The sequence below is a fragment of the Homo sapiens genome, chromosome 1, assembly GCF_000001405.40.
Source record: "Homo sapiens chromosome 1, GRCh38.p14 Primary Assembly".
NCBI classification, from domain to species: Eukaryota; Metazoa; Chordata; class Mammalia; order Primates; family Hominidae; genus Homo; species Homo sapiens.
This window is the reverse complement of record NC_000001.11, coordinates 154,073,561-154,096,428: the sequence shown is the minus strand read 5'-3', so window position 1 is coordinate 154,096,428 and position 22,868 is coordinate 154,073,561. Positions and strand designations below refer to the sequence as shown.

The 22,868-nt window shown below is 41.3% G+C and overlaps 1 protein-coding gene and 1 pseudogene across 8 annotated transcripts in view; one reads left to right on the top strand and one right to left on the bottom strand.

Annotated features, from left to right (window-relative positions):
* Positions 1-22,868, top strand: part of NUP210L (nucleoporin 210 like) — a 162,427-nt gene that overhangs the window by 58,688 nt on the left and 80,871 nt on the right. For all 8 annotated transcript variants that reach the window (XM_011510122.2, XM_011510123.2, NM_001159484.1 and 5 more), the window contains 2 exons: positions 1,273-1,494; positions 6,835-7,008. In XM_011510122.2, coding sequence (XP_011508424.1) covers positions 1,273-1,494; positions 6,835-7,008 — 396 coding nt within the window. The remainder of the gene's footprint in view (positions 1-1,272; positions 1,495-6,834; positions 7,009-22,868) is intronic.
* Positions 16,464-17,007, bottom strand: RPS7P2 (ribosomal protein S7 pseudogene 2; annotated as a pseudogene).

Here is a 22,868-nt window from a genome sequence, read left to right as displayed (position 1 = left end):
CTCTCCCAGATTGTGAGCTCCCCTGTGAGACAAGACTTTATTTGGATTTCTATTACTGTATCCTCATAAGTGAATATTTATTGAATTATATATACATTATTTAAGAGAATACTACCATCAGGGATAGAAATTTTCAGTTTTAATAGTACTCAATAATAAATATGACTGAACAGTTCTGAAAAGAAAGCATAGTTTGCTTACGTTTTTAGAATAATTGCTTCAACTCTCTACTTCGTTTTAAAACTTAGTCACTGTAGTGGGAGTTGAACAATGAGAACACATGGACACAGGGAGGGGAACATCACACACTGTGGCCTGTAAAGGGGTGGGGCCTCGGGAATGGATAGCATTAGGAGAAATACCTAACGTACATGATGGGTTGATGGGTGCAGCAAACCACCATGGCGCATGTATACCTAGGTAACAAACCTGCACATTCTGCACATGTATCCCAGAACTTAAAGTAAAATAAAAAAAAATTAGTCACTGTTGTGGACATTGTGTGCCATACAAAAATAACCTACACTTTGAGAATACTTCATTCCCCTAATGCCAGTTTCCTCATCTGTGAATGGGATACAACTTCTCTATACTGAATTGAGTAATACCTATCTTGTCTACTTCTTAGCTTATAAAGTTCTTGGAGAAATATGGTGAAGTGTATAGATGTATTATTTTTATATTTTTAGGGCAGAAGTTCTTTGATACGTTAGTAAAATATCAGTTTAAAATGCTTATGCATCTTATCTTTCACTCTTTAGCCTGAAAAAAATGCTTATGCAGTTATTTATACAATACCTTTTCTGCACACAACATTGTACTAAATCCCAGTGAAGAAGAGAAATACTAAAACAAATTAGGTATAAGATACTGACTCCTCTTAAGGAGTTTATATAAGTAGAGAAAACAACAAAAATTATTAGATTTATACATAGCATTTGACACACATATAATAACATTAGGAAATGAACAGGGTACAAATGAATGGTACAGATAAATACTGTAAGAGCTTAGAGGATGCAGAAGTGGTGTGGTCTAGAATGACTGGACACAAATTAATGGATAAAGTAACATAATAGTTAGGTTCAAATGATAGGTAGGATCCAAGTTAGGTTGAGAAGCATTCCAAGTGAGAGGCATGGCATACATATCTCTTAATTTGGGAATTAAGTTTAACGTCATTTGCAGCATATTCAGATAACTAGTGTTTCACTTTAGAAAATTATTGAATTCCCTAACCTATCAGGAATTAATTTCTTTAAATATCATCAGGCTTTAAATCCTGTGGAAGTGGCATTGGTGACATGGCAGTCTGTGAAGGAAATGGTATTTGAAGGGGGTCCTCGTCCATGGATCTTGGAGCCCTCCCGATTTTTTTTGGAATTGAATGCGGAGAAGACAGAGAAGATTGGAATAGCACAAGTGTGGCTGCCATCTAAGAGAAAACAGAACCAGTACATCTACCGGATCCAATGCCTGGATTTAGGGGAACAAGTAGGAAAACAGTTTTTTATAACATTTTCTTTAGTGTAATACTCCAAATCCTTTGTACTTCCAGCCATTCCTTTTCAGATTCTGCTGAATTTAGTTTATGGACTAAATAGGAAAATTCTAATTATTGATCAAATGATTGTTTTTTCTAAAACCTTATTATCCTTAAAATATACCCAGAGGTTTCAATTTGCTCATCCAAGAATTCCAGCAGTTCACGAACTAAACAAGATCTTTTTGTAGTAATGAGCTTATTTCACATTATTTGCAATCACATTATCATTATAATTCACTTCCTTGTTTTGTAGACTTTAGGATATTTGGTTTCCCAACTTTAAGAATTCAAGGAAGGGAAACTTTGAAGTATCATCTATGGTTAGCAATTTTGAGGAACTAATTAGAGCTACACTGATACGAATAATAAATATATTTTATCTCTATCAGTTGAATTATTTTTAATTATTTTTATTTATTTATTTAGAGACAGGGTCTCACTCTGTTGCCCAAGCTGGAGCGCAGTGGCACGATCTCGGCTCACTGCACCCTCTGCCTCCTGGGTTCAAGCAATTCTTATGCCTCAGCCTCCTGAGTAGCTGGGATTACAGGCACACACCACCATGCCCAGCTAATTTTTGTTGTTGTTGTTGTTGTTTTTGAGATGGAGTCTTGCTCTGTTGCCCAGGCTAGAGTGCAGTGGTGCAATCTCAGCTCACTGCAACCTCTGCCTTCCGGGTTCAAGAGATTCTCCTGTTTCGGCCTCCTGAGTAGCTGGGATGACAGGTGCACGCCACCACGCCTGGCTAATTTTTTGTATTTTTAGTAGAGACGGGGTTTTACCATGTTGGTCAGGCTGGTCTCAAACTCCTGACCTTGTGATCTGCCCAACTCGGCCTCCCAAAGTGCTAGGATTACAGGCGTGAGCAACCATGCCCAGCCATTTTTGTTTTTTTCTATAGACAGGGTTTCACTGTGTTGGCCAGACTGGTCTCAAGTTGCTGGAATCAAGTGATCCACCCACCTTGGCCTCCCAAAGTGCTGGGATTATAGGCATGACGCACTACACCCAGCTGAGTTTTAATTATTTTTAGAGGTACTGATGGATTTGCATAGTTTTCATTCACAGCTGTGCTGTACTTCTATCAAAATCAGTAACAAAGATTTGCAGTTTTACTGGGCTTGAGAATTCAAGGTATGACTGTGAAACAGCACAGCTAACCAGCACATAAGGGAATCAATGTAAGATTTTAACTTGATAAGAACTGTGCTGTAATCCATTGAACTTCATTCTATTTTATTTTATTTATTTATTTTTATATTTTAGAGACAGGTTCTCACACTGCTGCCCAGGCTAGAGTGTAGTGGAACGATCGTAGCTCACTACATAGGTTTCTTTCTAATATTTGTAGTGAACTTTACTGTATATATAACTAGCTATCAGTAATTTCAGGGCTAATTACTTATTTTGGTCCTCAATCTTTTATTGTGGTAAAATTACCATCTTTTTTTTTTGAGATGGAGTTTCGCTCTTGTTGCCCAGGTGGGAGTGCAATGGCACAATCTTGGCTCACCATAACCTCCACCTCCTGGGTTCAAGTGATTCTACTGCCTCAGCCTCCTGAGTAACTGGGATTACAGGCATGCACCACCACACCCGGCTAATTTTGTATTTTTAGTAGAGATGGGGTTTCTTCATGTTGGTCAGGCTGATCTCAAACTCCTGACCTCAGGTGATCTGCCCACCTCGGCCTCCCAAAGTGCTGGGATTACAGGCATGAGGCACCGCACCCGGCCTAAAATTACCATCTTAATCATTTTTTTAAAATGTACAGTTCAATAGTATTATGTACATTCATAATCTTGTGCAGGCATCACTACCATCCATCTCTTTTCATCTTATACAACTGAAACTCTAAGGCTGGGCACAGTGGCTCACGCCTGTAATCCCAGCACTTTGGGGAATCAAGGCAGGAGGATCACTTGAGGCCAGGAATTCAAGGCCAGCCTGGACAACATAGTGAGACCCTGTCCCTACTAAAAAAGAAAAAATTAGCTGGGTGTCATGGCAGACACCTGTAGTCCTAGCTACTTGGGAGGCTGAGGCAGGAGGATCACTTGAGCCCAGTAGTTTGAGGTTACAGTGGGCTATGATCTAGTCACTGCACTCCAGCCTGGGTGACAGTGCAAGATCCCGTCTCAAAAAACAAACAAACAAAACATATAGAAACTCTATACCCATTAAAGAATAACTCTTGGCTGGGTGTGGTGGCTTATGCCTGTAATTCTAGCACTTTGGGAGGCTGAGGCAGGTGGATCATTTGAGGTCAGGAGTATGAGACCAGCCTAGCCAACATGATGAAACCCCATCTCTGCTAAAAAAAAAAAAAAAACAAAAAACAAAAAACTAGCCAGGTATGGTGGCATGTGCCTGTGATCTCAGCTACTCAGGAGGCTCAGGCAGAAGAACTGCTTGAACCCGGGAGGCAGAGGTTGAGGTGAGCTGAGATCGCGCCACTGCACTCCAGCCTGGGCGACAGAGTGAGACTGCGTAAAAAAAAAAAAGGCCGGGCGCGGTGGCTAACGCCTGTAATCCTAGCTCTTTGGGAGGACGAGGCGGGCGGATCACCAGGTCAGGAGATCGAGACCATCCTGGGTAACACGGTGAAACCCCATCTCTACTAAAAATAAAAAAAAAAAATTAGCCAGGCGTGGTGGCGCGTGCCTGTAGTCCCAGCTACTCAGGAGGCTGAGGCAGGAGAATGGCGTGAATCCGGAAGGCGGAGCTTACAATGAGCCGAGATCATGCCACTGCACTCCAGCCTGGGCGACAGAGCGAGACTCCGTCTCAAAAAAAAAAAAAAAAAAAAAATGGCTCCCCATTTCTGCTTCACCCCAGTCCCTGGCAACCACCAATCTACTTTCTGTCTCTGTAATTTTGGCAACTCTAAGTACATCACATAAATGGAATCATGTAGTATTTTTCTTTTTATGACTGGCCTATTTCACTTAACATAATGTTCTCAAGGTTTATTCACACTGTAGTATATGTCAGAATTTCCTTCCTTTTAAAGCTGCATATGTATATATAAAATATGTACATATAAGATTATATACATATATATGTATATATGAAATTTTGTGGCCGGGCGCAGTGGCTCACGCCTATAATTCCAGCACTTTGGGAGACCGAAGCGGGCAGATCATTTGAGTTCAGGAGTTCGAGACCAGCCTGGCCAATATGGTGAAACCCCATCTCTACTAAAAATACAAAAATTAGCCGGACGTGGTGGTGGGCACCTGTAATCTCAGCTACTTGGGAGGCTGAGACAGGAGAATCGCTTGAACCTGGGAGGTGGAGATTGCAGTGAGCCGAGATCATGCCATTGCACTCCAGCCTGGACAATAGAGCAAAAGTCACTCTCAAAAAAAAAAAAAAAAAGAAAAGAAAAGAAAAGAAAAAGACATGTTGCTTATCCACTCATCCATTGATGGACACTTGGGTTGCTTAGAGTAAGGTTTTAGTGATCATGAATAATGCTGCTGTTGAGCAGGCACAGTGGCTCACACTTGTAATCCCAGCATCTTGGGAGGTTGAGGCAGGTGGATCAGTTGAGGCCAGGAATTCGAGATCAGCCTGGCCAACATGGCAAAGCCCTGTCTCTACTGAAAATACAAAAATTAGCCGGGTGTGGTTGCACGTGCCTGTAGTCTTAGCTACTCAGGAGGATGAGTCACAAGAATCTCTGGAACCCATGAGGCGGAGGTTACAGTGAGCCAAGATCATGCCACTGCACTCCAGCCTGGGCAACAGAGTGAGACTTTTTCTCAAATAATAATAATAATAATAATAATAATAATAATAATAATAACAGCAATAATAATAATAATGCTGTCAACAAATACAGCTATCTGTCAAGATCCTGCTTTTTAATTGTTTTGGGTATATATACCCAGAAGTGGAATTGCTTGATCATATGGTAATTCTATTTTTAATTTCTTGAGGAACCACCATACTATTTTCCACAGCAGCTGTACCATTTTACTTTCCTACCAACAGTGCACAAGGGTTCCCATTTCTCCAGAACCTCACCAACACTTGTTATTTTCAGTTTCTTTCTTTTTTTTTTTTTAGATGTAGTTTGACTCTTGTCACCCAGGCTGGAGTGCAATGGTATGATCTTGGCTCACTGCAACCTCCGCCTCCCGGGTTCAAGTGATTCTCTTGCCTCAGTCTCCCAAGTAGCTGGGACTACAGGCGTGTGGCAATATGCCTGGCTAATTTTTGTGTTTTTAGTAGAGACGGGGTTTCACCATATCGGCCAGGCTGGTGTTGAACTCCTGACCTCAGGTGATCTGCCCACCTCAGCCTCCCAAAGTGCTGGGATTACAGGTGTGAGCCACCGCACTGGGCCTTTGCCCATTTTTTGAATCAGTCTTTTACTATTGAGTATGATGTTAACTGTGGTAAGGCTTTTATCATGTTGAGATAGTTTCCTTCATTTCCTAGTTTGTTGAGTGAGCTATTTAGTAATTTCAGGTCTGATTAACCCTCATTTGAAGTTTCCTAATTTCTTTTTGTTTCCACATTCCGTTATTCATTACTACTTCTACTAGAGATGAGTGGAAACACAAATTAGTTTTTTCACTTTTTATCAACTTGTAACAAAATATTTGGCGGAGGAAAAGACTGAAATAATTGGTCAAAGTTAGATTTTTTTTTTTTTTCCTGAGACAGGGTCTCACTATGTTGCTCAAGCTGGTCTTGAACTCCTTGGCGCAAGCAATCCTCCTGCCTCAGACTTCCAAGCAGCTGAGATTACAGGTACACATCACCACACCCAGTCAAAGTTAGATTTTTTTTTTTTAGACAGGGTCTCATTCTGTTGCCCAGGCTGAAGTGCAATGGCATGAACATGGCTCACTGTAGCCTTGACCTCCTGGGTTCAAGCGATCCTCCTGCTTCAGTCTCCCAAGTAACTGAGACTACAGGTGTGCACCACCATGCCTGGCTAATTTTTAGATTTTTTGTAGAGATGGGGTCTTACTATGTGATGGTCTTGAACTAGGCTCAAGTGATCCTCCCAAAGTGCTGGGATTATAGGCATGAGCCACTGTGCCTGACCTAGATTTTTTTAATGTTCCAGTTGTTTTCAAATTTTCATGATATTATTAATGCCCTTTAGCATAGATAATTAAGAACTATAATGTCTTTAAGGGATTTGCCGGATTATAATGTGAAAGGGACTCTCTATACTGGAATTTGAATAATTCTAACACATTTATATTGGCATGACTGACATCAAGTATCTACCCACAATTATCTCTTGCTCTGTGACTTCCTTAAAGGTTCTCACATTCCGAATTGGAAATCATCCAGGTGTCCTGAACCCTAGTCCAGCTGTAGAGGTTTTGCAGGTTCGCTTCATTTGTGCCCACCCTGCCAGTATGTCAGTAACTCCAGTATACAAGGTGCCAGCTGGTGCCCAGCCATGTCCTCTGCCACAGCACAACAAATGGCTGGTAAGTACAGAGTATGTTTCCAACTAAGTTGGCACTTTTATATTCCGTGCTTTAGAGATAGAGTCTGGAATTCTTTGGGGTATATATCCAGAAGTAGAATTGCCAGATCATATGGTAATTCTATTTTTAATTTTTTGAGGAACTGCCATACAGTTTTCCACAGCAGCTGTACCATTTTACATTCTTACCAACAGTGCACAAGGGTTCCCATTTCTCCACTTATCAACATTGAATGAACTATTTTACTCATTACTCATTTTCTGATAGTGTCTGAGGAGAGGTGATTAAACTGATTAGAATTGGCTACACTTGTTTACTATACTTAAGTACATAATCAGCTTGTGATAATGGCAATAGACACTTGAGATCTGACTACATAACTTCCAAATTTTGCTGATATCCTTCGCTACCAAATCTTTTATTAACAATATTAATAAATAATAAAATTTACCTCTTCTCCAAACCAATCATGAAGAATAGTGATAAACAATAATGTAGCTACTAAGTAGGCAACAGGGTATGAAAAATAAATGAGTTATCTATCCTAGAAAGTAGAACATCATATTATATAATAAACAATGTTGAGTACAGGTCCAAGCTTGGGAGCATAGAAGTCATTACTTAACCTATACAGAACAATTAGTTATTCCCATTTTCTGGATGAGAAAACCGAGCCTCCTAAAAGTCGATTAATTTTCCCAGTCATAAAGCTAGAAAGGAACACATTCTGTCTGACTCCAAAGTACATGTTATTTATGCCATACTGCCTTTTATTATGAAGAACAACAGTATGGGATGTTACAGGTTGTGAACCCATTTTTTTGAGTCAGACTTCACATCAAATATTATTTGAAGTTTATGAAGGAGTTACTATTTTTTTAGAGCACTCTGAGTGGAGTAGAATAAAAGTTATCCCTATAACATCATTGTCATTCAATGGCATTTTTCTTTTCATTTGAAATAATTCAAATTTACAGGCAAGTTGCAAGAAAAGAACTTTTTTCCCTGAACTATTTGAGAGTGAGTTACAGACATGATTCTCCATCACCCTATTGACATACACTAGCATATATTCACCCTTTTTTTTTTTTTGAGACAGGGTCTCACTGCAGTCATCCAGGCTGGAGCACATGGCACCATCTGCCACCTCAACTTTCCCCAGTCAGTTGATTTTCCCAACTCAACCCCCCAGTTAGCTGGGATTATAGGTGTGTGCCACCATGCTGGCTAATTTTTTGTATTTTTAGTAGAGATGGGGTTTTGCCATGTTGCCCAGGCTGGTCTCGAACTCCTGGGCTCAAGGGATCCACCCACCTCAGTCTCACAAAGTGCTGGGATTAGAGGCGTGAGCTACCGCGTCCAGCAGATCACCCTTTTAAAGTGTTCAAATCAAAGTTGTGCAACCATCGGTGCTATCTAACTTCAGGTCATTTTCATTTTCTCCGGAAGAAACTCCATACCCATTAGCAGTCATTCCTTATTTCCTCCATTTCCTAGCCCCGGCAACCCCACTGATAGACTTTCTGTCTCTATGGATTTGCCTATTCTGACGTTTCATATGAATGGAATAATACAATTATGTGTCCTTTGTGCCTAGCTTCTTTCATTTAGCATGTTTTCAAGTTTCATTGATATGGTAGCCTGTATCAGTAGTGCATTTTTTATGGCTAAGTAATATTCCATTGTGTAGATATACTACATTTTGTTTATCCAGCCATCAGTTGATGGATATATGTGTTGTTTCCACCTTTGGCTATTATGAATAATGCTGCCATGAACATTCATGTACAAGTTTTTTTGTGAGTATATGTCTTCATTTCTCTTGAGTATATAGCTAAGAGTGGAATTGGTGGTTTGTATGTTAATTCCATGCTTAGCCTTTTGAAGAACTTCCAGCTGTTTCCAAAGTGGCTGCACCATTTTACATTTCCACTAGCAGTGTGTGAGGCTTCCAGGTTCTCCATATCCTTGCCAACAATTACTATTATTTGTCATTTTGATTATAGCCTTCCTAGTGGGTATAAAGTGGTATCTCATTGTGGTTTTGATTTGTATTTTCCACTGTCTAATTATGTTGCCCCTTTTTTTTTTTTTTTTTTTGAGATGGAGCTTCATTCTTTTCGCCCAGGCTGGAGTGAAGTGGTGCAATCTCAGCTCACTGCAACCTCCAGCCCCCGGGTTCAAATGATTCTCTTGCCTCATCCTCCTGAGTAGCTAGGATTATAGGTATGCACCACCATGCCCAGCTAATTTTTGTGCTTTTAGTAGAAACGGGGTTTCACCATGTTGGCCAGGCTGGTCTCAAACTCCTGACCTCAGCTGATCCACCCGCCTCGGCCTCCCAAAGTGCTGGGATTACAGGCGTGAGCCACTGTGCCTGGCCTATGTTGTGTATCTTTTTATGTGCTTACTGGCCATTTGTATATCTTCTTTTGACAAATGTATATTCAGATCCTTTGCCAATTTTTAATTGAACTATATGTCTTTTTATTGAGTTGCAAGAGTTCTTCATTTCATATAGTCTACATACAAGTCTCTTTTCAGATATATGATTTGCAAAAATGTTCTCTCATCACATGGGTTATCTTTTACTTTTTTTTTTTTAAGACACAGGGTCTCACTTTTCACTCAAGCTGCAGTGCAGTGACATGATCATAGGTCACTGTAACCTCCAACTCCTGGGCTCAAGCTAACTATCCTCTCACCTCAGCCTCCTAAGTGGCTGGGACTACAGTCACATGCCACCATACCCAGCTAATTTTTTTTTTTTTCTGTAGAGATGAGGTCTCACTATATTGCCCAGGCTGGTCTCAAACTCCTGGCCTCGAATGATACTCCGGCCTTGGCCTCCCAAAGTGCTGGGATTACAGGCATAAGCCACCATGCTTGGCCTCACTTTTCTAATGACATCTTTTGAAGCACAAAAGTTTTTAACTTTGATGAATCCCAATTTATCAATTTTGTTACTATGGTTGTTGTTTGTACTTTTGGTGTCATATCTAATCTAAGAAATCATTGCCTAATCCAAGGGCATGAAGATTTATGCCTTTGATTTATTCTATGAGTTTTATAGTTTTAACTCTTACATTTAGCTCTCTGATCCACTTTGAGTTCATTTTTATGGTGTGAGGTAGGGATCTAACTTCATTATTGTGTTTTGGTTTTGTTTTGTTTTTTTCTTTTCTTTTCTTTCTTTCTTTTTTTTTTTTGAGACTGAGTCTCACTCTATTGCCCAGGCTGGAGTGCAGTGGTGTGATCTTGGCTCACTGCAATCTCTGCCTCCTGGGTTCAAGTTATTCTCATGCCTCAGCCTCCCCAGTAGCTGGAATTACAGGTGCCCGCCACCATGCCTGGCTAATTTTTGTATTTTTAGTAGAGACAGGGTTTCACCATATTGGCCAGGCTGGTCTCAAACTCCTGATCTCAAATGATCTGCCCGCCTTGGCCTCCCAAAGTGCTGGGATTACAGGCATGAGCCACTGTGCCCAGCCTCACTTCATTTTTTTTACATGTTGGTATCCACTTGACACAGCACCATTTGTTTAAAAGATTATTTCTTATACCTTGAGTTGTCTTGGCACTCTTGTTGCAAATCTGTTAACCATAAACATGAGAGTTTATTTTTGGACTCTAAAATCTATTAATCTATACATCTTTATGTCAGTACCACACTGTCTTGATCACTGTAGTTTTGTAGTAAGTTTTGAGGTTGGGAAGTATGAATTTTGCAACTTTGTTCTTTTTCAATATTATTTTGGCTATTCTGGGTCCCTTGCATTTCCACATAAATTTTTAGGGTCAGCTTGTCAAAGCCAGCAGAGATTTTGATAGGGATTGCATTGAATCTGTAGATCAGTTTGAGGAGTATTGCCATTTTGATAATATTGCCTTTTGATTTATGAACATGGATGTCTTTCTGTTTATTGGTATCTTTAATTTCTTTCAACAATGTTTCCTGTTTAGAGTATACAAGTTTTACACTCATTAGATTTATTCCTAAATATTTTGCTTTTTTGATGCTATCATAATTGGAATTTTTTCTTTATTTTATTTTATTTATTTATTTTTTTTGAGATGGAGTCTTGCTCTGTCGCTGAGGCTGGAGTGCAGTGGTACGATCTCGGCTCACTGCAAGCTCTGCCTCCTGAGTTCACACCATTCTCCCGCCTCAGCCTCCCGAGTAGCTGGGACTACAGGCGCCCACTACCAAGCCTGGCTATTTTTTTTTTGTATTTTTAGTAGAGACAGGGTTTCACCTTGTTAGCCAGGATGGTCTCAAGCTCCTGATCTCATGATTCACCCACCTCAGCCTCCCAAAGTGCTGGGATTACAGGAGTGAGCCACTGCACCTGGCCTTTAGTTTTATTTTTAGGCCAGGTGCTGTGGCTCACGCCTGTAATCCCAGCACTTTGGGAGGCCGAATTGGGTGGATCATCTAAGGTCAGGAGTTCAAGACCAGCCTGGCCACTGTGGCTGGTAACTCATTGGTTATTTAGGAGTATTTTTAATTTCCACACATTTGTGAATATTCCAGATTTCCTGTTACTGATTTCTAATTTCACTCCACTGTGATTAGAGAACATATTTTTAAATTTAAATCCTCCCCCCAACCCCAGCCTTTTTTTTTTTTTAAAGAAATATGGGTCCCAGCTGGATGCAGTGGCTCATGCTTGTAATCCCAGCACTTTGGAAGGCCAAGGCAGGTGGATCACTTGAGCCCAGGAGTTGGAGACCAGCCTGGGCAACATGGCAAAACCCCATCTCTACCAAAAATACAAAAATTAGCCAGTCTTGTAACCTGGTCTCAAAATAAATAAATAAATAAATAGACAAAAATTTTTTAAAAATAAAGCAAGGTCTCCACCAGCCTGGACAATATAGTGAGACCTTGTCTGTACAAAAAATTTAAGGCCGGGTGCGGTGGCTCATGCTTCTAATCCCAGCACTTTGGGAGGCTGACGTGGGAGGATCACTTGAGGTCAGAAGTTCAAGACCAGCCTGGCCAACACGGTGAAACCCCATCTCTACTAAAAATACAAAAATTAGTCAGATGTGGTGGCATTTGCCTGTGAGTCCAGCTACTCAGGGGGCTGAGGTATGAGAATCGCTTGAACCCAGGAGATGGAGGTTGCAGTGAACCGAGATCACACCACTGCACTCCAGTTTGGGCAACAAAGCAAGACTGTGTCTCAAAAAAAAAAAAAAAATTAAAAATTAGCCAAGCATGGTAACGTGCTCCTGTAGTCCCAGCTACTGGGGAGGCTGAGGTGGGAGGATTGCTTGAGCCAGGTAAGTGGAAGCTCCAGTGAGCCAAGATTGCGCCACTGCACTCCAGCCTGGGTGACAGAGTGAGACTCTGTCTCAAAAAAAAAAAAAAAAAAAGAAAGGAAAAGGAAAGAAAAAACAACAGGGTTTACCACCCTGTTGAGACTACCACCATCTCTAAATTGCACTGGTTAACTTTTACCCTTAGTAACTGAACACAGCACAGCTGCAGTTTCATACCATTCATGACAAGGTAGCCACCCAGGAATTAAAGGTTCCTCATCCCCCACCCTTTCATCCTTTCTCATCCCAAACCACCGTTTCTGTGCCACAGTGCCATTCTATCAAATCCCACCTCAATCACACCAATTGTTCAGGAAAAACTCTCAAACTGTGTTTTTCCTCTGCCCTCACACCACCACAACAATCATTAACACAGAAGATTTCTGTTTCATGAAAAATATGAGAGAGGGAAGAAGAAAAAAGAAGACTTCTGTAACCAAACGTATGGGTTTTTTCCCCACACATCAAGCAGCAGACACCAGCTGGGTGTTCTCCAATTCAATTCTGACACTATCTACCTGGAGTTACTGTCAGATCTCACAGGTTGAGGGCTCAGTCACCAAGACTGCCCACACCTAAGACACAAGTTGCAAATCCAGGCCTCCAGAACTTCTGACCAACTGGCCTCTAGTTGGGGTTCCCCTGACCTCTTTGGGTTCAATTAATTTGCTGAAGTTGAGAGGTGAAGCCAGCTGGGCTTCTGGGTCTGGTGGGGACTTGGAGAACTTTACTGTCTAGCCAAAGGATTGTAAACACATCAATCAGCACTCTGTAAAAACACACCAATCAGCGCTTTGTGTCTAGCTAAAGGTTTGTAAATGCACCAGTCAGCACACTGTAAAAATGGACCAATCAGTGCTCTGTAAAATGGACCAATCAGCACTCTGTAAAATGGACCAATCAGCAGGATGTGGGCGGGGCCAAATAAGGGAATAAAAGCTGGCCACCGAGCCGACAGTGGCAACCTGCTCGGTTGCTTTTCTGTGCTGCGGAATATTTGTTCATTTGGTCTTCACAGTAAATCTTGCTGCTTCTTACTCTTTGGGTCCACACTACCTTCATGAGCTGTAACACTCACCACGAAGGTCTGCAGCTTCACTCCTGGAGTCAGCGAGACCACAAACCCACCAGGAGGAATGAAGAACTTCTGATGTGCCACCTTTAAGAGCTGTAACACTAACTGTGAAGGTCTGCAGCTTTACTCCTGAAGCCAGCGAGATGATGAACCCACTGGGAGGAATGACCAAGTCCAGACGTGCCACCTTTAAGAGCTGTAACACTCAAGGCGAAGGTCTACAGCTTCACTCCTGAAGTCAGCGAGACCAGGAACCCACCAGAAGGAAGAAACTCTGGACGCATCTGAAGGAACAAACTCCGTTTCTGACCAGTTCCGTAATTGGTCAAGAACCTACCAGAAGGAACCAATTACGGAAGCAGAGTGACTCATGGAACTCAGGGAAATATTTACTTATGTTTACCAGTTTATTATAAAGGATATTGTAAAGGATACAGATGAAGAGATACATAGGGTGAGATATAGGGATGGGGCGTGGAGCTTCCATGCCCTCACTGAGCATGCCATCCTCTGGGAATCTCCACCTGTTCAACTATCTACAAGCTCTAACTATTATTGAATTGTCTATTTCTTCCTCAATTCTGTCAGGTTTTGCTTCATGTATTTTGAGGCTCTGTTATTAGGTACATACGCATTTACAATTGTTACATCTTTTTAATAGATTGACCTTTGGCAATACCACAATGCAATTCTGACACCAATATGCAGTTAGCTGACTCCACGGTTTTAAAGGCACAGTTCCCAACAAGACTGCCCTCACTTCAGATGATAGTTGCAAATGGGGGGACTCACAGGCTACCCACTCTTATGACCAACAAGTTTGGTAATTTGTTAGAATGACTCACAGTTTCGTTATAAAGGATACAAATCATTTTGTGTCCTTTTGAGAAAAATCTTCAGAGAGTCCCAGACACGCAGCGTCCATGCCCTCTCCATGGGATTAGGATCTGGTGAAAACATAACAGGTGGAACACATCAATGTGTTTACCAAACAGGAAATTCCACTGAGTTTTGGTGTCCAATGTTTTTTGTTTTTTGACACAGGGTCTCACTCTGTTGCCCAGGCTGAGTGCAATGGCGTGATTATGGCTTGCTGCAGCCTCACTTCCTGGGCTTAAGTGATCCTCCCACCTCAGCCTCTAGAGGAGCTGGGACCACAGGTCTGTGCCATTACACTCAGCTAATTTTAAAATTTTTCTGTAGAGTCAGGGTCTCACTGGGTTGCCCAGGCTGGTCTTGAACTCCTGGGCTCAGGCAGTCTTCCTGTCTCGGCCTCCCAATGTGCTGGGATTGTAGGTGTGAACCACCATGCCCAGCTCCAGCGTTTTATTGGGATATTATTATGTAAACATGATTAATTATGTAAACATGATTAATTGAATAATTGGCCACGTGATTAAACTCCATCACCAGCCCTCCTCTTTTCCCTGGAGGTGGGGCTGCTATCACCTGACCCAAAACCTCATCCTTCTAATCACATGATTGGTCTTTCTGTCCTTATCCAACTCCATCCTGAGTCATCTCATTAGCATAAACTCAAATGTTATCCAAGGGGGCCACCATAAATAACAGACACAATCCTATTACTCAAGAAATTCCAAAGGTTTAGGGGTTACCTCCCAGGAACTGAGGACAACCTCTTTATTATAGATTATTATTTTATCATTATAAAATGACCTTTTCTTTAGTAACAATTTTTGTATTAAAGTCTGTTTTGTCTGATGTTAGTGTAACTACCTCAGCTCTCTTTTGGCTACTGTTTGCATGATACATCTTTTTTTTTTTTCCATCCTTATACTTGTGACCCATGAGTGTCTCTTGCAGACAACATATAGCTGGGCCATTTAAAAATTTCATTATGCTAATCAGACTTTTCATGGAACATAAAATTTATTTATACTTAATGTAATTACTGATAAGGTAGGCATTATGTCTGCCATTTTGCTATTTGTTTTCTATATGTCATATGTCTTTTCTGTTCCTCTTCTTCCATTTCTTCCTTCTTTTTCTTTTCTTTTTTTTTCTTTTCTTTTTTTTTTTTTCGGAAGCACAGTCTTGCTCTGTTGCCCAGGTTGGAGTATGGTGGCACTATCTCGACTCACTGCAACTTATACCTCCCAGGTTCAAGCAATTCTCCTGTCTCACCCTCCTGAGTAGCTGGGAATCCAAGAGCACATGCCACCATGCCCAGCTAATTTTTGTATTTTTAGTAGAGACGAGGTTTCATCATATTGGTCAGGCTGGTCTCAAACTCCTGACTTTGACTGATTTACCTGCCTTGGCCTCCCAAAGTGCTGGGTGTTTTTGTTGTTGTTATTTATTTATTTATTTATTTGAGATGGTCTCGCTCTGTCGCTTAGGCTGGAGTGCAGTGGTGCCATCTCTGCTCCCTGCAACCTCTGCCTCCTGGGTTCAAGTGATTCTCCTCAGAATCTCCTCCCAAGTAGTTGGGACTACAGGTGCACGCCACCGTGCTTGGGAAATTTTTTGGTATGTTTGGTAGAGACAGGGTTTCATCATATTGGTCAGGCTGGTCTCAAATTCCTGAATTCCTGACCTCAAGTGACCCGCCCACCTTGGCCTCCCAAAGTGCTGGGATTACAGGTGTGAGCCACTGCGCCCAGTCATTTCTTTCTCCTTCTTCCTTTTTTTTTTTTTGAGATGGAGTCTTGCTCTGTCGCCCAGGCTGGAGTGCAATGGCATGATCTTGGTTCACTGCAACCTCCGCCTCCCAGGTTCAAACGATTGTCCTGCCTCAGCCTCCCGAGTAGCTGGGATTACAGGCATGCGCCACAATGCCTGGCTCATTTTTGTATTTTTAGTAGAGATGGAGTTTTGCCATGTTGGCCAGGCTGGTCTCAAACTCCTGACCTCAGGTAATCCACCCATCTCGGCCTCCCAAAGTGCTGGGATTACAGGTGTGAGCCACCATGCCCAGCCTCTTCCTTCTTCTGTGTTAGACATTTTCTAGTGTACTATTTTAACTGCTTTATTTTTTCTTTTACTATATTTTTGTGTATATGTGAATGATATTTTACTTAGCCACTTTTGTTTACAACTGAAACTCTAGGAATTTAAAATTAGCATCCTTGCCTGTGAGCTTTCTTTATAAATACCAAAAATGTTTCAGCCTTGTGCTCCACATTGTCCTGCTATGCTTTGTCCAGATGAACCTTTATGAGCCCACTGCTCATATTCTGTTGCCCATAGTTTCACATGGGAAGACCAAGTGATCTTGACCTTGACCAAGAGATCTTGACCTTGACCAAGATCAATGGTTCATTGTGTACAGCTATTAGAATGCACCTCCTGGAACATTTTTGCTTTTTTTTTTTGTATGGCTTTTTTGAATTGGCTTAGGCAGAATTCTCATCTAACAAATAAAGATAATGTGCTTCTCATTGAACTTTTTCTCCCATTCACATGCTAGGTAGAACTTAGATTTTCTGTAAAGATTTCAGTTGAGATATGGGGACAAACATTATGATAGTTCGTGACTACCACCAACTTCAATTTCTTTGGCTGCTGTTCTATTCAACTCCCTTAGCTGAGCCTTAAGGTCCCAGTTTATTTCCAGGTTAAAGAAGAGCCTGAGAAGCCAGGTATGGTGTCGGACACCTGTAGTCCCAGCTAGTTGGAAGGTGAGGTGGGAGCTTGCTTAAGCCCAGGAGTTTGCTCCTAGCCTGGGCAATATAGCAAGACCCCTCTCAAAAAAAAATTTTAATGTAAAATTTTTATTATTTTATTTACTTTTTTTTTGAGATAGGTTTTCACTCTATCTCCCAGACTGTAGTGCAGTGCTGCAGTCATAGCTCACTGCAGCCTTGAACTCTTCGGCTCAAGTGATCCTCCCACCTCAGCCTCCTGAGTAGCTAGGACTATAGGCATGAGGCACCATGCCTGACTAATTTTTATTTTTTGCCCAGGCTGGTTTTGTGCTCCTGGCCTCAAGCAATCCTTCCACCTTGGCCTCCCAAAGTTCTGGGATTACAGACGTGAGCCACCATGCTCAGCCAAAATTTTTGTTTAAAGGAAAGAAAGGAAGTACTCCAAAGTTCTTTCCTTACAAAATAAATAAATAAGAAAAGCCTGAGCAATGCTGGCCTCAAACTTATTCAGCTTTTCATCACTGGGCTTCATGATGAACTGCATGGCCTTCTTGTTTAGTGTTGGCTTAGGGAGCTGTGTTGTTTTGAGTGATTTTATTAATTATTGCCCTAAGGATTACAATTAACATCTTAATCTTTAGTAACCTAGTTTGGCATCATACCAACTTAATTTCAGTAGTGTATAAAACCTTTGCTCCGATATAAACCCATTTCCTGTCCCTTGTTTGTGCTGTTTTTGTCATATAAATTACATTTTTATATACTATGCCCATCAAACCAGTAAATATATATATTGTTTTCTTTTTTTTTTTTTTGAGACAGATTCTCACTTCGTTGCCCAGGCTGGAGTGCAGTGATGTGATCATAGTTCACTGCATTCTCTGCCTCCCAGGCTCAAGTGATTCTCCTGCTTCAGCCTCCTGAGTAGCTGGGATTACAGGTGTGTGCCACCACATCCAGCTAATTTTTGTATTTTTAGTAGAGACAGGGTTTCACCACGTTGGCCAGGCTGGTCTTGAACTCCTGACCTCAAATGATCCACCCACCTCGGCCTTCCAAAGTGTTGGGATTACAGGCATGAGCCACTGTACCTGGCCTTTTTTTTTGGAGATAGGATCTTCCTCTGTTTTCCTGGCTGATTCATGGTTCACCGTAACCTCCACCTCCCCAGCTCAAAGGATCCTCCCACCCCAGCCTCCCTAGTAGCTGGGACTACAGGTACACGCACGCCACTGTGCCTAGCTAATTTTTGTAATTTTTTTTTTTTTGTAAAGATGAGGTCTCGCTGTGTTGCCCAGGCTGGTCTTGAACTCCTGGGCTCAAGCGATCCGCCCACCTCGACCTCCCAAAGTGCTGAGATTACAGGCTTGAGCCACCACACAGCCTATAATTATTACTTTATAAATATTTTTTTCTTTTTTCTTTGAGACTGAGTCTCACTCTGTTGCCCAGGTTAGAGTGCAGTGGCGTGATCTTGGCTCACTGCAACCTCCGCCTCCTGGGTTCAAGCAATTCTCCTGTCTCAGCCTCCCAAGTAGCTGGGACTGCAGATGCATGCCACCATGACTGGCTAATTTTTGTATTTTTAGTAGAGACAGGGTTTTACCATATTGGTCAGGCTGGTCTCAAACTTCTGACCTCAGGTGATCCACCCACCTCAGCCTCCCTAACTGCTGAGATTATAGGCGTGGACCACCGCACCCGGCCATATATTTTTCTTTTAAATCAGATAGAAAAAAAGAATAATTACAACCGAAAATACATTTATACTGTCCTTTATATTTACCTATGTAATTATCTTTTCCAGATTATTTCTTCATGGTGATTCAAGCTATTGTCTAGTGACCTTTCATTGCATCCTGAAGGACTCCCTTTAGTATTTCTTGTAAGACAGGTCTGCTAGCAATAAATTCTCTCCATTTTTGTTGGATCTTAGAATGTCTTAATTTCTCCATTTTTGAAGGATTATTCTGCCCAATATAGAATTGTTGGCTGGCAGTCTTTTTATTTTATTTTATTTTATTTTATTTTTATTTATTTTTTTGAGACAGAGTATCGCTGTGTCACCCAGGCTGGAATGATCTCGGCTTATTGCAACCTCTGCCTCCTGGATTCAAGCAATTCTTGTGCCTCAGCCTCCTGAGTAGCTGAGACTACAGGCCCACACCACCACGCCTGGCTAATTTTTTGGATTTTTAGTAGAGACGGGGTTTCACCATGCTGCCCAGGCTGGTCTCAAACTCCTGAGCTCAGGCAATCCACCTGCCTCGGCCCCCCAAAGTGCTAAGATTACAAGCGCGAGCCACTGCACCTGGCCCTTTTTCTTTTACTTTGAATGTGTCATCTCACTGCCTTCTGGTCCTCATGGTTTCTGATGAAAGATCAGCTATTAATCCCATGGAAGATCCCTTATGAGGGGTGAATCCCTTCCCTTTCTGTTTTTATGATTCTGTCTTTGACTCTGGACAGATTGATTATGATGTGTCTAGATGTAGATCTTTTTGAATTTATTCTGCTTGATGTTGATGGATTGATGTTGTTTGAGCTTCTTGAATGTTTAATGGTTTTCATCAATTTGGTAAGTTTTGGCCATTATTTCTTCAAATATTCTTTCTTCCTCTATTCTTCTATCTCCTCTCCTTCTAGCACTCCGTTTTTGCATATACTGGTACGTATGATGGTGTCCCACAGGTCTCTGATGTTTGTTCTTTTTTTTCATTCTTTTTTCTTTTTATTCATCAGACTGGATAATCTCAGTTGACCTAGCTTCAAGTTCTCCAATTCTTTCTTCAGCCTGTTCAAATCTGCTGTTGAATTCCTCTAGTTAATTTTTCATTTCAATTATTGTACTTTTCAACTTCAGAATTTCTTTTTGGTTCTTTTTTGTTATAACTTCTATCTCTTTATTGGTATTCTCTGTGTAATGTGATAGCACTTTTGTATTTTCCTTTAGTTAGTCAAACATGAATACCTTTAGTTCTTTGGACATTAAAGTTAATTAGAAGTCTGGCCGGGCACAGTGGCTCATGTTTGTAATCCCAGCACTTTGGGAGGCTGAGGTGGGTGGATCATGAGGTCAGGAGTTCAAGACCATCCTGGCCAATCTGATGAAACCCTGTCTCTACTAAAAATACAAAAATTAGCCGGGCGTGGTGGCACACGCCTGTAGTCCCAGCTACTAGGGAGGCTGAGGCAGGAGAATCACTTGAACCTGGGAGGTGGAGGTTGCAGTGAGCTGAGATCATGCCACTGCACTCCAGCCTGGCAACAGAGTGAGACTCTGTTTCAAAAAAAAAAAAAAAAAAAAGAAGTCTTTGTCTGGCCCAGGCATGGTGGCTCATACCTGTAATTCCAGCACTCTGGGAGCCTGAGGTGGACGGATCCTTTGAGTCCAGGAATTCGAGACCAGCCTGAGTGACATGGCAAAACCCCACCTCTGCAAAAATACAAAAATTAGCCATGCATGGTGGTGCATGCCTGTAGTCTCAGCTACTTGGGAGGCTGAGGTGGGAGGATTGCTTGAGTCCAGGAGGCAGAGGATGCAGTGAGCTATGATTGCATCACTGCATTCCAGCCTGGGCAATGAAGTAAGACTCCATCTCAAAAAAGGAAAAAAAAAAAAGAAGTATTTGCCTTGTAAGCTCAATGTCTGGGCATTCTCAAGGCAGTTTCTATGGAAACTGCTTTTATTCTCATGTATGGACCATACTTATTTCTTTACATTTCTAATAATCTTTTGTTAAAAACTCAACATTTTATATAATATAATGTAGCAACTCTGAAATCAGATTCTTCTCCTCCCCTGGTTTTGTGGCTGCTTTTGTTTTTTGTTTTTGCTGAGAACATTTATTTAGTGTCTTTTCTGAACTAGTTCTGTAACATCTGTACTCTTTGACCTATGTGGCCACTAAAAGTCTCTGCTTAGTTAGCTTCATGGTCAGCTAATTATTGGCAAATATTTATTTGTGTTCCTGGTATTTTAATTGAGATTATGTTAAATTTATTTATTAACTTGGAGTAAGTGGAATATTTATGATGTTGAGTCATTGAGTCATCTTGTCAAAGAATGTGTATATGTGTGTGTATATATATGTATACGTGGGTATGTCTCACATATATATGAGAGCTTAGAGACATGTTTTAAAATTGCTGTACAACTCATACTTTTTTAAAACAAATTTTATTTACAAGCTCTGTTCACTGAAAGGGCCTATAACCCAATAGTGATGTACAAACATCTGGGTTTCTAAATACTAGTCCCCATTTAAAGGAATCAGAGCCTCTTGGAGAACTAGTTGATTCCAGCTCAGTAGGGAAAGTGAACAATGAGTCTCAAACAACTTGCGTTAGAAAGCAAAGAAGTGCTCAAAGAGTAATGGTGACTTCTCAAAAAGCAGCTGGCTTGAAGGGACCCCTACTCTCCAAATTGTAGATAATCTGAGCATCCAAAAAATAATGGCAGAGGGTTGAAAAATTACCTATTGAGTACAATGTTTACTACAGTAAAAGCCCAGACTTCACCATTGTGTCATACATGCATGTAAGAAATCTGCACTTGTACCCCTTAAATATATCTTTTAAAAAATAATGACAGAAATATCAACTTAAAATTCATGATCCCAGCGGGGTGCGGTGGCTTACGCCTGTAATCCCAGAACTTTGGGAGGCCGAAGCAGGTAGATCACAAGGTCAGGATTCGAGACCAGCCTGGCCAACATAGTGAAACCCCGTCTCTACTAAAAGTACACAAAAAATTAGCCAGGCGTAGTGGCGGGTGCCTGTAGTCCCAGCTACTAGGGAGGCTGAGGCAGGAAAATCACTTGAACTGGGGAGGCAGGGGTTGCAGTGAGCCGAGATCGTGCCACTGCACTCCATCCTTGGTGACAGAGTGAGACTCCGTCTCAAAAAAAAAAAAAAAAAATCGTGATCCCATAGTGATGCTCAAGGTTACAAGAGAAAAATGAAGGAAGAAAGAGACAGAAGGAGGGAGAAAGAGAAGAAAAATAAATTGAGGAAGGAAGAGAAGGAGGGATGGAAGAGAAAAAAGGATGCTTTTTTCCAGGAAAATACCAGCTTATATAAAATGAATCATAGAATTAGAAATTTATGATTTTGTAATCCTCCTTGTAATAATTGATCCTGGCAAAGATCATCAATGGATATTAAGACTAGTAAGTGAAAGCCTGTTGGGAAATGGGATAGTCTCAAGATTTCAAATTATCACCCACAGAGGGGAAACCATACCTTTATACTGGAGAGATCTCCAGTGGCAGTCACCACCTTCAGCAGATAATCAAATTTGGCATCACTAATAGTGGTACAACCTGATATTATGTGCAAGTAAATTTTTAACAGACTCTCCAAAACAAAAAACAACGACAAAAAAAAAAAACTTAGGGGGACCCAATTTGTAACATGTGCCAAATTCTATGGTGTTAATACTCCCATCATGGCCGATTTCAGGTTACCAATATGATATCACTATTCAGAGTTGTCAAGAGATGCTAACAATCAGCTTACCTATGAGCCTGCTCCAGTATACCATTGAATTTATTTATTTATTTATTTATTTATTTATTTATTTATTTATTTATTGAGACAGAGTCTCACTCTGTCGCCCAGGCTGGAGTGCAGTGGTCCATTCTCGGCTCACTGCAACCCCCACCTCCCAGGTTCAAGCGATTCTCGTGCCTCAGCCTCCTGAGTAGCTGGGACTACAGGCATGCACCACCATGCCCGGCTAATTTTTGTGTTTTTAGTAGAGACAGGGTTTCGCCATGTTAGCCAGGCTGGTCTCGAACTCCTGACCTCAAGTGATCTGCTCGCCTTGGCATCCCAAAGTGCTGAGA